Genomic DNA, 17,239 nt, shown 5'->3' on the forward strand with positions numbered 1-17,239 from the left:
AATATTACATTGTCAGGTTGTGCCACAGTTTAGTTATTCATTCACCTGCTGAGGAAGGTGAACTTGGAAAACTTGAAGTTTGCTTCCAAGTTTTGGACATTATGAATAAAACTGCTAGAAAAATCTATGTACATGTTTTGGTGCAGACACAGATTTTTCAGTTTATTTGGGTAAATACCATGGAGCACAATTGCTGGATCATATGGTAAGAGTATATTTAGTTTTGTAAGAAACTGCCAAATGGTCTTCCAAAGTGGCTGTACCATTTTGCATTCCACTACCAGCCATGAATGAGAGTTCTTGTTGCTCCACATCTTTTAAACATTTGGTATTACCTGTGCTTTGGATATTGGTCATTCTAATAGGTATGTAGTAGTATCTTTTTATTGTTTTAATTTGCATTTCTCAAATGACATTTAACTTGAAGCATCTTCTCATATGCTTATCTGCTATCTGTATATCGTTTTGATGAGGTATCAGTTCAGGCCTTTGGCCCATTTTTGGATTGGGGTTATTTTCTTATTATTGAATTTAAAGTGTTCTTTGTATGTTTTATATTACATGTTTTAAATCAAATATGTCTGTTGCAAATAATTTCTTTCAATCTGTGGGTTATCCTTTTATTCTCTTGAGGCTCTTTCATGTTTAGTCATATGATTTTGAGCAAAGTTTTAGGCATTTTCAGCTTTAGTTTCTTCAGACCTATCCTGGAACCATTTACCTTCTCTCACAGAATTGTTGCAATCATTAATTTAGCAAATGCATACAAAAGGGCTCTAAGTTGTAAAGGGCGATGCAAATAGAAATGTACTATTACTGTTATGATTAATAAGCAATAAGTATCATTTATATGTTGACTGTTGGGTTTGTCCCACAAGTGATGCCATTATCAAAGGTATCCTGGTATGGAAGTGAGGGCTTATTGAATAAGAAGAAGAAAAGTAAGAAGCGACAGCCCCAAAATCTTTGGAAATAATTGCATATCCTATTTATATGCTGTGTAACTAGAGATAGAAATCGTTCACTTTAAAGCCTGAATTGTTCTAGTAAAAGACATATTTTGTCCTGTTTGGCATTAGAAAAGTGTAAGAGTAGAAAGTAGTGTATTTGTTTTTGGTGACTATATAGTCATCTGGACTGGTTACTGAATGAAAGATCTCTTCATTTACTCAGCTCAGTTAAACAAATACCTGTGAAGATAAGGATTATAAATCATGCTACTATAAAGACACATGCACATGTATGTTTATGGTGGCGCTATTCATAATAGCAAAGACTTGGAACCAACCCAAATGTCCATTGTGGTAGACAGGATTAAGAAAATGTGGCAAATATATACCATGGAATACTATATAGCCATAAAAAAGGATGGGTTCATGTCCTTTGCAGGAACATGCATGAAGCTGGAAACCATCATTCTCAGCAAACTATCACAAAGACAGAAAACCAAACACCACATATTCTCACTCATAGGTGGGAATTAAACAATAGAACACTTGGACACCGGGTGGGGAACATCACACACCAGGGCCTGTCAGGGTGTGGGGGGCTGGGGGAGGGATAGCATTAGGAGAAATACCTAATATAAATGATGAGTTGATGGGTGCAGCAAACCAACATGACACATGTATAGCTATGTATCAAACCTGCACATTGTGCACATGTACCCTATAATTTTAAGTGTAATAAAAATATATATTTATTATGGTTTTATGTATGTTTAGTTTACATTTATTGGAAATTATGAAGCTGACTATAGAATCTCTTTTTTCTCTTTATTTCAACACACACACACACAATCACGCACACATACACACACAGTTTTATAAATGTGTGACTATTTATATACAGGGTTCCTAGAAATCAGAAAAAAACGGGGTTTAGGCAGGTGAAGTTATACATTACCATAAATTATTCTTTGATTTTGATTATGAATAAATAAGATTGATGATTATGATGCTTCTGCTGCTGCTGCTACAACTGTTTCTGCTGCTAGCTAGTGTTTATTAAGAATTTAATACGAGCCAGGCATTTTTCTAAGAACATTACATAGATGCACAAACACAGTTAATTCTCACAACTTTAGGAGGTTTATCAGTGAGGAAATGGAGGAAGAGAAGGGGAAAGTAACTAGAAAATAGTGGAGAGAGGGTTGAGACCCAAGGATTCTGATTCTGGAGGCAGTGCTATAAATGACCATACAATATAATTTCCCAGGAGTAATGGTGTATGCATAGGTGGTAAGGAAAAAGTCATTTAAAACTGCTTCTTTGGGGTGATTGCTGAATTTTAAAATGTTTAGGCATTTGTTTAAATTAAAGGCTTTTAAATCCCCAAACTTTATAAGCAAGGATGAAATGACAGGTCATAAGATCAATAGGTCATAAGGGTGTTTATTTAGTAGCAAATATATGTTGAATCCTTTAGCTCTCTCTCCTCATTTTGCAGAAATCCTGAATGTTTGTTAAACAGGGTAAGATTTCTTAAGGTAACTTAAGAAATGTAGAGGATAGAATTAACCACTGGATTTTCTGTGTGTAAGTTATATGTGTGCATGCAAGTGCGTGCACTTGAAGCCAGAGAAAAGGAAGAAATCAATTCAGGAAAGAAGGGAAGGGGGAACATGAAAGAAATTTACCTGGAAATCTGAGCATAGATCAAGTGGCACTGTCGAGAATATACCCCTTACACGCACTGTAGGTAAAAGGAGAACTAAGAACAAATTAAGAACAAAAATGATTAACTGCAATATTAATTTAGGCAAATACACATGTTAAACCAAATATAGAGCTTTATTGTTAATTTTAACATTCAATTATCCAAAGAAGATCCCTTTTTTTTTTTTTTTTTTAAGACAGAGTCTTGCTCTGTCGTCAGGCTGGAGTGCAGTGATGCAATATCGGCTCACTGCAACCTCCGCCTCCCGGGTTCAAGCGATTCTCCTGCCTCAGCCTCCCGAGTAGCTGGGACTAGAGGTGCACGCCACCATGACCAGCTAATTTTTTTTTTTTTGTATTTTTAGTAGAGATGGTGTTTCACCTTGTTGGCCAGGATGGTCTCAATCTCTTGACCTCATGATCCGCCCGCCTTGGCCTCCCAAAGTGCTAGGATTACAGGCGTGAGCCACCGTGCCCAGCCCAAAGATCCCTTTTTAAACATGTATTTTGGAGTCTGTATGGTGACCTTTTATTTTTCCCTAGGCACTGAAAATGAAGATGCTGGAAGTGACTATCAAAGTGATAATCAAGCAAGTTGGATTCATCGTATGATAATGGCCTTGGTGAGTGATTCAGCTTTATTCAATACCAGAGAAGGACGTGCTGGGAAGGTACACAACTTCATGCTGGGCTTGAATCTCAATACATCTTATCCACTGTCTCCTTTGAGTGACTTTGCCACACAGGACTCCTTTGATGATGATGAACTGGATGCAGCTGTAGCAGGTAAGTGTACAAATATAATTAGTGGGAGCTAATGCAGGAGATCTTTATTCCTTCTCTGGAGAGAAGCATTTTAATTATTATTAACACTTACTCATTTATTATCAGTTATTACAACCTGCATTTAATGTGTGAAGGGCTTCAAATGACTAGGGTTTTTTTTTTGTTGTTGTTTGTTTGTTTGTATTTTTGAGACAGGGTCTCACCCAGTCACCCAGGCTGCAGTGCAGTGGCACAATCATGGCTCACCGCATCCTTAATTCCTGGGCTGCAGCAATCCTCCTGCCTCAGCTTCCTGAGTAGCTGGGACTACAGGTGCACACCACCATACCCAGCTAATTTTTGTAGTTTTTGTAGAGACAGGTTTTTGCCGTGTTGCCCAAGCTGGTCTCAGACTCCTGGGCTCAAGTGATCCTCCTACCTTAGCCTCCCAAAGTGCTGGGACTGCAGGTGTGAGTCACCGTACCTGGCCTGGATTTTTTTTTAAAGAAAAATTTACATTGGAGAGGAAATGGCCTAGACATGTCAGTATAGAAAATTTTCATTAATAATATTGAGGAGGACGGCCGGGGAGCAGTGGCTCACTCCTGTAATCCTAGCACTTTGGGAGGCCGAGACTGGTGGATTACCCAAGCTCAGGAGTTCGAGACCAGCCTGGACAACATGGTGAAACCCCGTCTCTACTAAGTAATCCCAGCTACTCAGGAGGCTGAAGCACAATAATCGCTTGAACCTGGGAGGCAGACATTGCAGTGAGCCAATATTGCACCACTGCACTCCAGCCTGGGCAACAAAGTGAAGCTCTGTCTCAAAAAAATAAAAAATAAAAAAAATATTGAGGGAGATGTTAGATCTTCTCTGTACTGGTCACAGTTCAGTTGCAGAAATTTGGAAACTATTTCCTATTTTCTGAAAGGGATTTAAAGAAGGGAATTAGGTGCTTATAAAATCGTTCCAAACTTTCAGGAATTTAAATAAGGGAATTAGGTGCTTATAAAATCGTTCCAAACCTTCAGGGAGCAAGCTTTAGGCTGAGCTTTCAGGAATGGTTCAAAAACCACTTCAGAATCATCCCCACAAATGTGTTGGCAACTGTGCTTGGCAGCAGAAATAGTGGAAATGTAGCTTCTGTCTCATTTTCTGTTTCAGATTTTATGTGACTGACTGTTTCTCTTTGGCAGAGGCCAGGTCTCAGGAGAACTCGAGCTGCAAGGGAATCTGGCAAACACATTCTTAGCCTGACTCCCTAGTGCAACATAGGGCTTGAGTAAGCCAGCCTGTAGTGTTCACTAGGCTATTGGAACTATCTCTCCAGTTCTCAGAAAGGTTAGGTAACTTTCTTAAAACTGCCCAGCAAGAACCTTGTCACTTTCAGGTTTGTCACTTAGCCAGATCCTCAAGAATAATTCCCTTTGGTTTTCAGTTCCATGCCTGTTATAAAGTTAAATTTGCTTTGGTGACCAATCAATATACAATAATTTTTTGGTGATAATTCTGTCATTTTAAATTTTTATATTTCACCACACCATCATCTTTTCCTTAACGTCCAAATGTCATTCCTCAATCATCTATGTCTAAGGACATTTTGATTAGATGCAGTAAAAACTTAAATGGGATATTTCCAAAAAATTTTTCTACTGCCTTTTGTTTAAGCATCATACCTAGAACATACTTGTGAAATTTAGGATATAGCTTTGGATTTTGTTGTTGTTTTGGTATTGTTGTTTCTATTTGTTGCTTGACCCCTTAAAAGGTATTACAGAGGCAAAAATGACCCCTGTTGTTTAAACAAGATTAGTGCAAACTCATTATATTTTGTGTTATGTTTATGGCATCAAACTCTAGGATATGAGGTATGTCTGATTATATACCGGTAATCCCAACAGGATTCACTATGTTATATAGCATATTAACTAATATATTAACTATAATGAAATTCTAATTGTTATAAAGTCAATATCTCTTTTTAAATTCATCCAAAATAAAAATACACTTAACCATACATTCAGTGACATTATTTTTCTTGTTTAGTCACATAACTATGCTTATTGCCATCGCAATACCAATTAAATATGTCTCTTCTAGAAACGTATGCTTTATAGATTAATGATGATGAGCTTAAAAAAACTACAAATTCATAGAGCATGTCGATATATAGAGAATCTTCAGTTATTTTACTCTATAGAAAGCGAAGATCAAAGGAGATAATTCTGTCATCTTTGCCTAAAATTTCTCAACAGAGCTGAGATTGGGACACAGGTTTCTTGACATTGCTTCCAAGCTTTTCCCTTGGCCACATACCATTCCCCTTAGCCCTTGGTTTTCTTAGTCATCCACTTGCTTATGTAAAAATGGAAGTTTTCTTTGTGTATACTTTATTCTATTTGTTTTACATTATTACTTGGATTGCACCAGCTCCTTATGTAGTTTTCACAGCACGAGGTCTACACTCCACATTTTAACAACTTCCTGGAAGTTTTGCAATATTTTATGTAGATTTGGTGGTGTTGGGGTTACCAGATAAAATACAGAATACCCAGTTAGATTTGAATTTTAAATATGTATATGGATAATTTATATATCATTCTTGCAGCATTTAGGATGTACACTAAATAATTATTTGTTGATTATCTGAAATTCAAATTAAACCGGGCATCCTGTATTTTTTTAGCTAAATTTGGCAACTTTAGGATGTATGCCTCTTCCTTTTAAACTATTTTAGAAAGTTTCAGTGAGAAAGGAGGAATTTTCATCTTCTTTCTGTCTTTTGTTCATTCTTTCATTCACTTAGGTTTACTGAGTACTTATAATGTGCTTGGTTCTGCACTCCAGCCTGGGCAACAGAGCCAGACTCCATCTCAAAAAAAAAATAAAAGAATATGAGTTGATTGCGGGTGTTCGCATTTGGAGAATAATAGTTGTACACCACCTTGTCGACTCCTTTCTTCATTTAGTGCCCTTTGAAAGAAGAGTTATAGGCAGTTTTCATAAAATAACATAAGGAAATATATCATCCCCAAATATGGCATTATATAAACCAATTTTTTTGAGATACCTGAAAATGTTCTAAGCTAAAATTATTTTAAATTAATGACGTTTGGAAAGAACTTTACATTTTATTTCATTGTGTGTATTTCATTTAAATTACACTTTATTCATTTTTATGTATTCAGTTGAAAAATGTATATGGGGTATTGATTTCATTAAAAAATTTAGTTCAGTCAGTTCACAGATTCATTCAACTTTATGCTTTACAGGCCAACATTGCTAAAAATAATTTCATTTTAGACTGAATTTACTGAATGAACTAGTGCTTTTTCAGAAAGAGTCCTTACAAAGATAGATCTGATTTACCTCCCTCTGGTTGTTTCCAATTTTTAGAATAATCATATGTTTGGAATGAAAAGTTAAAACATTTATCACAAATTGTGATAATTTTGGTTCATAAGGTCCTCCTTAAAATTCCTATTTTAAAGAATACCAACTAAAACTTTTAGCCACAACTTATTTAAAACATTAATTAAGCACATTTCTTTTTAAATTTTGCAACCCCCATGCCAAAAAAAAGATTTTTATCTAATCTAGATATTAGGTTGGAAAAATGTTACATTTGTTTAACCTATGATGATTTTGTTTATATAAATTAAAATGTGGGTGTTTTAGAATTAAAGCAATCTCTCAACCTAAAATCAGTAAAAGTGCGCTATTTTTGTGCCTACTACTTAATCTTGTAGACTGTATTTTGTAAACAGAAGAAATTATAATAGGATAAAATTCCACTCATGTGTTTACTGCAAAATAGTTGTGTACCTGTAGAAACAAATTTTGGAGAGCTTTTTATTAGTCATATGACTTCTTTCCTGTTTACTTTTGTGTTTATCCTACTTACTGTGACACACCATCTGGAAATAAGAAATAAAGACATGAGTTAATTTAGGCTAGAGTTCAAAACACAGACATCCAAATATTTGTACATTGAATCTGTGTGATGTATTTATAAAATGGTCATTACAAATATCCAAAGCTGACCTGCTTTAAGGAAATGTTACATAATTCTAAAACAGAGTTATGTTTCCACAACCGCATTAATTCATTCACACGTTTAGAAACCTTGTACGTTTTAAATTGTAGGAGGATATTCTTCCATAACGGCATTTATCCAATACTCTATGACATTTAATAGATGTTATACAGTAAATTGGGTTTAAGTTCAAATAAATTTGGGAACATTTACAATTCGATCTCCTTCTTCAAATACAATGAGATACCCTACTGAGTTTAAGTCCTACTTAAAGCTGCTTGAGGATAGTACTTTAAAAGGAGACTAGCTTATATTTGAATCTCAGTTGGACCCTTTACTAGCAGGCAATCTTAGGCAGTCAGGTAGCATAAGCCTCAATTTACTTATAAAATAAAAATAACAATGGTACCCATGTTATAGAATTATTTGGAGGATTGGTTAGCATTTTCATATAAAGTGCTGTTAGTGGAAGCCATAGGAAGGAGAATAGGGAATGCGCAATGTAATTGGCTAGTACTTTAAGTTGTTGAATTTTGTCTTTCTCAAGACATGACCTTATTTAATCATGGCACTCTTATTTTGTATATGAGACATCAGTTTATATCTTGCATAACTATGCTTTTTGCAACACAGTTAGGAAACACTACTTACTGGTTTGGCTTGGTTTTTTTGTTTTTTGCAACATGGGTGAACTTAGTGGATATTATACTAAGTGAAATGAGACAGACACTACATGATCTCACTGTTATGTGCAATCTAAAAAAGTTGAACTCAGAAGTAGAAAATAGGGTGAGGATTACCAGAAGCTGGGGGGGGATTTGGGGAGGAGGCAGTAGATGGAGAAAGAGGCGACCTTGCTCAAAGGGTAGAAAGTTTCAGTGAGAGAGGAGGAATAAGTGCTGGGTATCTATTGCACAGCATGGTGCCTGCAGTTAATAATAATGTACATTTCAAAATAGCTAAAAGAGAGGATTTAGATGTTCTTACCACAAAGAAGTGATAAATATTTGATGTTATGAATATGTTAATTAGCTTGATTTGATTGTTCCACAATGTATGCATGTAATGAAACATCACATTTTACCCCATAAATATACGCAATTATTATTTGTCTACAAAATAAAAATTGTTTTAAAAATAAAATAACAATAAAAGGAACACTACTTACCATCAATTTATCTTGAAGGTGGAAACAATGGTGTTTAGCTACAGACTAAAGCTGGGAATTGGTCCACATGATTTTCCCCTCAAATGCCCTCACTCTTGGATTTAAGAAAGGATAAAAGGATACTACCAGTTTACTGATGATAAGGGGCAAACCAAACAGAATATGAGAGAAATCATGTTTTTGGTTACACTTTCAGCTAAATTTTTTTTTAAAAACTGAGTTTATGAAGCCAAAAAATTTTATGAATTATAATTATACTTTCATTAGATTAGGGAAAATCACTGCATGTAAAATTAGAGTAATCTTCCTCCCTTATTCAAGGTTTCAGTTTCCTCAGTTTTAGTTACCCACAGTCACCTGCTGTCAACCACAGTTTGAAAAAAATAAAAATTCCAGAAATAAATAATTCAGAGTTTTAAATTGCATGCCATTCTGAGTAGCATGATGAACTCTCATGCCTTTCCTCCTGAGATGCAAATCATCTCTCTGTCCAGGCTGCATATGCTACCTGCCCGTTAGTGACTCAGTGGCCATCTCAGTTAACCAGATTGACTGTCACAGTATCACAATGTCTGTATTCAAGTAACCTTTTTTTTTCTACTTAATAATGGCCCCAAAGTGTAAGAGTAGTGATGCTGACATAGTGTTATAATTGTTCTCTTTTATCTTTACTGTTGTTAATCTCTTACTGTGCCTAATTTATAGATTAACCTGTATCATGGGTATGCATGTGTAAGAAAAAACATAGTATATGTAGAGATTTGTACTATGCACAGTTTCGCACATCCACTGGGGGGTCTTGTGGCATATCCCCCCAAGTAAGTAGGGACTACCATACTCCCATTATTGTGTTTTTAAATGTTAGGTTGAATTGCGATAAAATACACATATTAATGTGGTTTTAATAACTGATAGGATTATGTGCTGATAAACTCTATACTTTGTAGTTATTTTATTTTATTTATTTATTTATTTATTTATTTATTTATTTATTTATTTATTTATTTTTGAGACGGAGTCTTGCTCTGTCGCCCAGGCTGCAGTGCAGCGGCGCGATCTCGGCTCTCTGCAAGCTCCGTCTCCCGAGTTCACGCCATTCTCCTGCCTCAGCCTCAGAGTAGCTGGGACTACAGGCGCCCGCCACCGCGCCCGGCTAAATTTTTGTATTTTTAGTAGAGACGGGGTTTCACCGTGTTAGTCAGGATGGTCTCGATCTCCTCACCTCGTGATCCACCCGCCTCGGCCTCCCAAAGTGCTGGGATTAACAGGCGTGAGCCACTGCGCCCGGTCACTTTGTGTTATTATTTTTTATACTATTCATTTCAAGCCCTCTTAGTTAGTCATGCCACTTTCTAAAGTAATAGTGTCACACCGTGCTTAGGGCTTAGACCTTGTGAACCTGGCTTGGAATCTTGACTCTCACTATCTGTTTGAAAATAGACAATTTATTTTACCTCTGTGAGCCTCAGTTTCCTTATCTTTAAAATGGCTACCTCCTTTGTAAGATTGTTTCCTTATCTTTAAAATGGCTGTCTCCTTTGTAAGAGTCGTATAAGAATAGTAAATCTTATATATGAAATTTCTGATACATAATAGACTCAGTATAAATGAAGTCATCATTAGGATAAATGTAAGTAACCAACTAATGAATTATAACTTTTTAGTAAAATATTTAAAAATAAATTTAAGCCAAAGAATATTTTTACCTGTAAGATGTTCACATATGTAATTGTTAAACTAAAAATTTCAGAGGAATAAATATTAAAATTGGGCTCGACAGTTTATATAGTTCAGTCTTACATCGTTACATTCCAGGTTCTGTGATAGGTAGTCTAGTATTTTGGCTGATGGCAAAGTGCATTCTCACTACTGTTTGTAAATACTTATTAAGAAAACAGAATTGATCTACAGATAATTATTTAAAGAACTATTTCTCGTCTCTCTCCTTATTGCCCTATAAGTTAGCCTTGGACACAGCCAGCCTTTATTATTTAGCCATATTACCTTATCGTTGTCTTTAAAAATAGCTTTATTTTTAGCACATTTGGTTTTATTCAAGACCGTTATTCACAAATTTCCTCTTTGCTTCACCTATTCTGGGCCGTATGAATTGCCTCAGCCATAAAATTTATTCTTCTTTATTTATAAGCATCACTAGTAAGCGTTTGTAACATTTATTTGTTATTCAGTATTTTAGAAATGGGAATTTTTAATAGATGTAAGGAAACAGATGACTTTGTTAACTGTAGAACGTTGGATATTAATGTTTCTTTAAAGTATTAATAACTATGCCAAAGTCTTATTCTTTCACTTTACACTGAATAAAATATTATGACTGTCTCATTGGTGTTTTTACTTCAACTTTTATTTATAAAGAGGATTATGGATTTAATTGGACAAGAAGAATTTAAAGATTTGCTTTCCTTTTTGATTTCATGCTCTTAAAATCTAATAAGTAAAACTGACTATAGGAGAATTATAGTATTATTCTTACTTAGAAATCTATGAAGGGAAACTAACATATACTAGGTTCCTACTGTGTGCTGAGCATGTATGTATGTACATAGGTATTAAGTCAGAGATCCTTATTCATATCTGGTGTGACCATCTTCACTTTATTCTACTATCATAGGCCTCCCTCTTGGGCTTTGCCAGCCTTCTTCTAACAGCAGGAGGAAACAAGAGTGTGGACAAGGGAACAGAGCACAACAGCTGTATGGCATTTTATCCAGTTCAATTCAAACCAGTTCAATTCTGGTCATGTTTTATTTTCCTGGCAAGTGAATTAGGAGCACCACACATAAATGTGAAGAGTAATGTGTTATCAGTATTATTTTTTCATAAAATTGATGATCTCTAGGTCCTCTTTTTCTTCAGACCCCTTGCCATCTCATCTGTTCTCCTCCCATACTGTCCTCAGACTGCAGGCTCCTTGCTGTCCTCAAACACACCCAGCCTGATTCTGCCTTGGGACCCTTGCTCTAGCTCCTCCCTCTCCCTGGTAACTTCTGGATCCCACCCTCCCAATCTTTAGGTGGCCTGTTCCGTATCATTATTCTTATTTCAGTGTAAGGTTTTCTTCTCAGAGGCATCTCCCCTGACCATCCACCTGAAGTTACTTACTCCTTATTATAGTGTCCTTGATCATTTTCTTCATTGCATTTATCACGTTATGAAGTGCCCTCTTGATACATTTATTTACTTATTGGAGGTGTACTCGCAATATGAGCTCTATCAGAGCAGAGCATGTATCTATCTTGTTCAGCATCTGGAATCATATCTGAATGGTAGTAGCCAACATATATTTGCTGGGTGTGTTGGCTGGATGATTTCCTTGAACTCCCACCTTGTGGTGGAATGCACACTCACCCTCAAGAGAGGCAGCCTGGGAACCATACAGAGTCTGCCACCTCCCAGTTGTGCCACCTTCGAGATGACTCTTCATTGGCTTCACCCTCCATTTACAGATGTCCTCTGCCTCACCTGTCTGTTATAAGAATTAAACAAGATTATGCATGAGGAAATGTTTAGAAACATGTAAAGACCTACGTAATGTAAGATAATACTATTGAAGTGATCATAGCTTAGAGTTAATACCAGGACCTGAGCTAAGTGCTTTCCATGCGTTGTCCCTATAAATCCTCACAGCAACCTTATTTGATAATTACTTTTATCCTGATGTTACAGATGAAGAAACTAAGACTTAAAGGTAATAATTACAATTGCTAAAGTTGGTTTCATGCCCAGCTCTATTTGTCTCCAAAGCCTGAGGGCCTAATCATATGAAATTCTTTCAAATTTGAAACCAACATTTTTAGATGATAAATACTGATGAATGATCATTTAATTCATTCTTGTTTTTCTTTTATGTTTTTAAGATCCTGATGAATTTGAGCGAATATATGAGCCTCTGGATGTCAAAAGTAAAAAGATTCATGTAGTGGACAGTGGGCTCACATTTAACCTGCCGTATCCCTTGATACTGAGACCTCAGAGAGGGGTTGATCTCATAATCTCCTTTGACTTTTCTGCAAGGCCAAGTGACTCTAGTCCTCCGTTCAAGGTAAGGATACATAATACAGCATTCCATTCTCTACCACATTCTCTTGCTTGCCTTATAGATCTCTTAGTCCCTTTGACTCCAGTTTCTTATTCCTTTAATGTATTTTCTACATCTTTATGAGTAATAGTTCTAAAACGCAAACATGGTTCAATCAGTCTCCTGCTTAAAGACACTTTTAAATAATTCTAATGAGCTCAATAAAGGTCAGAGCCCTGAGCAGGACAAGAATAATACAGTGGGTCTGAAGTTTAGAAAGGAAATGAGGCTGAGATTTGGGAGTTAGCAAGTAAATGATCATTAAAACCATGAATGGAGAGGGTACACCCTGAGAAGAGAAGTAGACATAAATAGTACTTTAAAGAATGCTAACAAGGGGAAAGGAGGAGAACAAAGGAAGTGTGTAGTATTATGAAAACTGAAGATATATTAACAAGGGGGTTTTTTGGTGAACTGGACAAGGCCAGTTTCAATAGGGCTGTGAGGGCAGAAATCAGACCAGAGTGGTTTGAGGGATGAGTGGAAGTTAAAAAAAAAAAAAAAAAAAAAGACATCATTTCTGTAGATTGTTCAGGGAAGGAGATGGACTGTATCTGTAAGAGGATGTGGGGAAGAGGAAAACTGTGTGTGTGGGTGGTTGGGGGTGGGTTAATAGAAGAGACAAGCATGTTTACATACTGATGGCTAGGAGTCGTTAATGAAGAAGGTATTACTGAAGAGAGGAGAGATGAGATATAGGATGAAGTCACATCTCTGGGAAGGATGTAGGGATGGGAAGTGGGAAAGGAATCAAGGACACAAGTGGGGAACAGTATTGAAATGTCTACGCTGGGGGAAAATGGCAGCAGATGAAGATTTATCATTAGGTATGGAAAAAGGAAGTTAAGGAAGTATTCATGTGATGACTTCGAAGTTTTATAGGAATTAGGAGTCAAGGTTAACTTGTGAGGATAAAAATATGGAGGTAGTGGAGTCAGGCATGTGGGGTAAATAAAAGTCCGCCTGTGTTGAAGAAAAGAGAAAAGCTTCTGAATGTGGCAATATGGAAAGATTGCTGGGCTGCACTTTGGCCTCACCCTCAAATAAACACGCTTTGTTCCCTCTGCCTGGAATACTCAAAACATTCTTTAGACACAGCTCAAGTGTTATCTTTCTTGACTTCCACATATATGGTTAAAGTGCATAGGACTCAGTCAATTCGTCTAATACAGCAATTATCATAGTATGTTGTATGTTTTTGCTTACATATATATTGCTTTCACTGTCTGTGAGCTCCTTGTGACTAGAACTCTGTTCTCTGTCTGTGTTTATTTTGTTTTAATCATTTGGTCCTAATTGTCATTTAGGTACTGGCCAAAATATGAGTATGTAGGATTTTTTTGTAGGTGAATAAATGAAATGCTATGAGAGAGATGGAGTTATTATTTTGATTTTATAGAATAAGAAGTGGCAATTCATAATAATTAAATGGAACAGTTCATGATCTCCTAACCAGGTGGAATCAGTGATAGCCCAGGTCAGGTCCTCTGACAGCATATCTGTTTTTTTCTCTATCATATGATGATTAAACTGCTCTCAAGACCAATAATGGTTATTATAATAACTCTTAAATATATAGAAAACCTTACATGTTCAAAGTGCTTTCATACTTTATCTATTTTTGGGGTAGTAAAGGTATTCAGACAAAGAAACAAGTATCAATGAGATAAAATCTTATCAACAAATTAAATAATATGTGGAATGAGCACAGCCCACGACCTGGCTAGGGAAGTGCTAGTTAAGAAATGGTGAGATGGGACCAGACTCCAAAGCTACAGAATGAGAATTTCTTACCCTTTACCAGCTGCCTTCTTTGTGCACACTGTTCATGAACTCTTTTCTGTGTAGTGTGCTGTGTGCAGCAGTTAGTGGGAAAATACAGTTCCTGATCTCCCATAACATTTTGGTTTTTTGGGGCAAAGACTTTTATTCACAAGAGCCACTTGGAGGGGAATTGAGAAACTTACTATTAAATAGTCATTGACATAAGTTTACATAAGTATGTGTATTATAGGGGATAAATATAAGAATAGATTGGTGCATACTGGAGTTAATGAACAGGGTAATAAATGAAATAGGGTGAGAACAGCACAGAGATGGCAATGAGCACATCTAAGGGGCAGGAGTGATCTGATTAGAAGTGACAGATATTCAGCTCCCTTAGAAAGGCTTAAGGAGAGAGTTTAAGACAGGACAATAGGAAATGGAGAATCAGTGGAGGATTTCAGCAGACAAATGACTTCATGAAATTGGAATTTTAGGATGATTAATCTGACAATGGAAAGTAGGATGAGTTGGAGAATGGAAGGCAAGGAATTAACATTAAGAGACATGTATTGTAATCCAACCATAGGATAATGAAGTACTACTGCACCAGAGTGGGTGACTATGAATTTGATGACCTATGAGAAACAATGGGGAGGTGGGTTTCAGTGGATGACTCTAAGATGATAGCTTAGAAGCTGGTCTAGTGGTGGAAGACACTGTATTATTCATTTCACCAATGGGGGTATAAAATGTCAAAGCCATCATTTTACATGTGAATCAGGGCTCCACCACCTTAATGAGTTGGAGGAGGTTTTGGAATATCACTTTGTACCTTTAAAAAGAATCATTATACTTGGCAGTAGTTTTTAAATGTTGACTCATTATTTGTGATTAAGAATAGATACTTGTAAAATGTATGAACATTTGGTTTATAAATGCAGTACTTCCAGACAACAGCTGTTAATATTTTGGTATTTTCTTCTAGTCTCTTTTCGCGGTGTGTATGTGTGTGTGTGTGTGTGTGTGTGTGTGTGTGTATGTGTCTATACCAGGGTCATGTAGTTTTGCATTCTGTCTCTTTCTACTTACAACTGTATTATGAGCATTTTTTCATGTCATTAAATATTTAAGAAAACAATTATAAAGACATATAATACAGTAAATATAAAAGATATATAAGATGTTTATAAAATAAAATAAAAATATATACTATCTCTGTATACAGATACGTATTTATTTAACAATGCTCTATTTTCAACTTTTAGATTATTGCTATCTTGCCACCTTTTTCTGTAATCATTATCCTTGCACATGAATCTTTAATCACATTTTAATTATTTATTTAGGTTGGTTTCTAGATGTGTATCATTTTATGACTTCTAGTAAATATTTTCAGATTGATTTCTAGAGAAGCTTCATCAATTTACATTACTATGTCTAATTATATATTTGAGTCTCTGTTTTACATGCCTTTGCTGGCAGGAAAAAATATTAAAGACGAAGTAAAAAAAAATTTATACAATATGATGGGGATAAAAAACCTCACATTTATGCTTCAGTTTTCTTCCTTTGTGAGACTGAATGGTTTGTCATGCTTATTATATATTGATGTTTTTAAACTACTTTTAATTGGATTATTTGTGATGTTCCTATTAATAAACATTCTTTTTATGTCTTAAGAATATTAAAGTTTGTCTTATTCTTGCAAATATGACCTAATATGTCATTTGTATTGGGACTTTTGTTGTTGATGATTTTATTGTTTCAAATATTTATGTAGGAGCTTCTTCCATTGTTTTTATTCTTTCTTATAATTTTAAAAATTTTTTTCACTGTATTTTCTCTTTTTCATATCAGTTTTTTAAATTTTTATTTTTAATTATGGATGCAGAATACTTGTACATATTTATGGGGTACATGTCAAATTTGATACAATCATATGTGGAAAGATCAATTAGGGTAATTGGGATATCTATCCCCTTAAGCATTTATCACCTCTTTGTGTTAGTAACATTCCAATTCCATTCTTTTAGTTATTTTGAAATATATAATAAATTATTGTTAACTATAGTTACCCAATTGTGCTACTGAACACTAGATCTTATTCCTTTTATCTTACTGTATTTTTGTACCAATTTTCCATTCACTCTTTATTTCCCCTTTCCACTAGCCTTCCCAGCAGATGGTAACCATCATTATACTTTCTATTTCCATTAATTCAACTGTTTTTAGTTCCACATGTAAGAGCATGTAATATTTGTCTTTCTGCGCCTGGATTATTTAACTTAACATAATGTCCTCTAGTTCTAGTTCCTGACATGTTATTACAAATGACAGGATTTCATTATTTTTTTTATGTCTGAATAATATTCTATAGTGTGTAGGTATCACATTTTCTTTATTCATTCATTTGTTGATCAATGCTTACATTGATTCCATATTTTGGCTATTGTGAATAGTGCTGCAATCAGCATGGGAGTACAAATATCTCTTCAATATACTGATTTTCCTTTCTTTTGGGTATATACCCAGTAATGGGATTACTGGATCATATGGTAGTTCTATTTTTAGTTTTTGTAGGAACCTCCATACTGTTTTCTGTGGTGGCTGTACTAATTTACATTCCAAGCAACCATGTAGGAGGGTTCCCCTTTCTCCACATCCTCATCAACACTTGTTATTTCCTATCTTTTGGATAAAAGCCATTTTAACTGGGGTAAGGTTGAATCTTATTGTAGTTTTAA

At 35.4% G+C, this 17,239-nt stretch overlaps 1 protein-coding gene across 5 annotated transcripts in view; it reads left to right on the forward strand.

Moving 5' to 3' along the window:
* The window catches only part of PLA2G4A (phospholipase A2 group IVA), a 160,033-nt gene that overhangs the window by 123,953 nt on the left and 18,841 nt on the right, over window positions 1–17,239 (forward strand). For 4 of the 5 annotated variants that reach the window (XM_011509642.3, NM_024420.3, NM_001311193.2 and 1 more), the window contains 2 exons: window positions 3,201–3,443; window positions 12,508–12,692. In XM_011509642.3, coding sequence (XP_011507944.1) covers window positions 3,201–3,443; window positions 12,508–12,692 — 428 coding nt within the window. Of the gene's footprint in view, window positions 1–3,200; window positions 3,444–12,507; window positions 12,693–17,239 lie in introns of those variants that run through there. The other variant, XM_047422599.1, reaches the window with a different exon arrangement.

The sequence above is a fragment of the Homo sapiens genome, chromosome 1 (assembly GCF_000001405.40).
Source record: "Homo sapiens chromosome 1, GRCh38.p14 Primary Assembly".
NCBI lineage: Eukaryota > Metazoa > Chordata > Mammalia > Primates > Hominidae > Homo > Homo sapiens.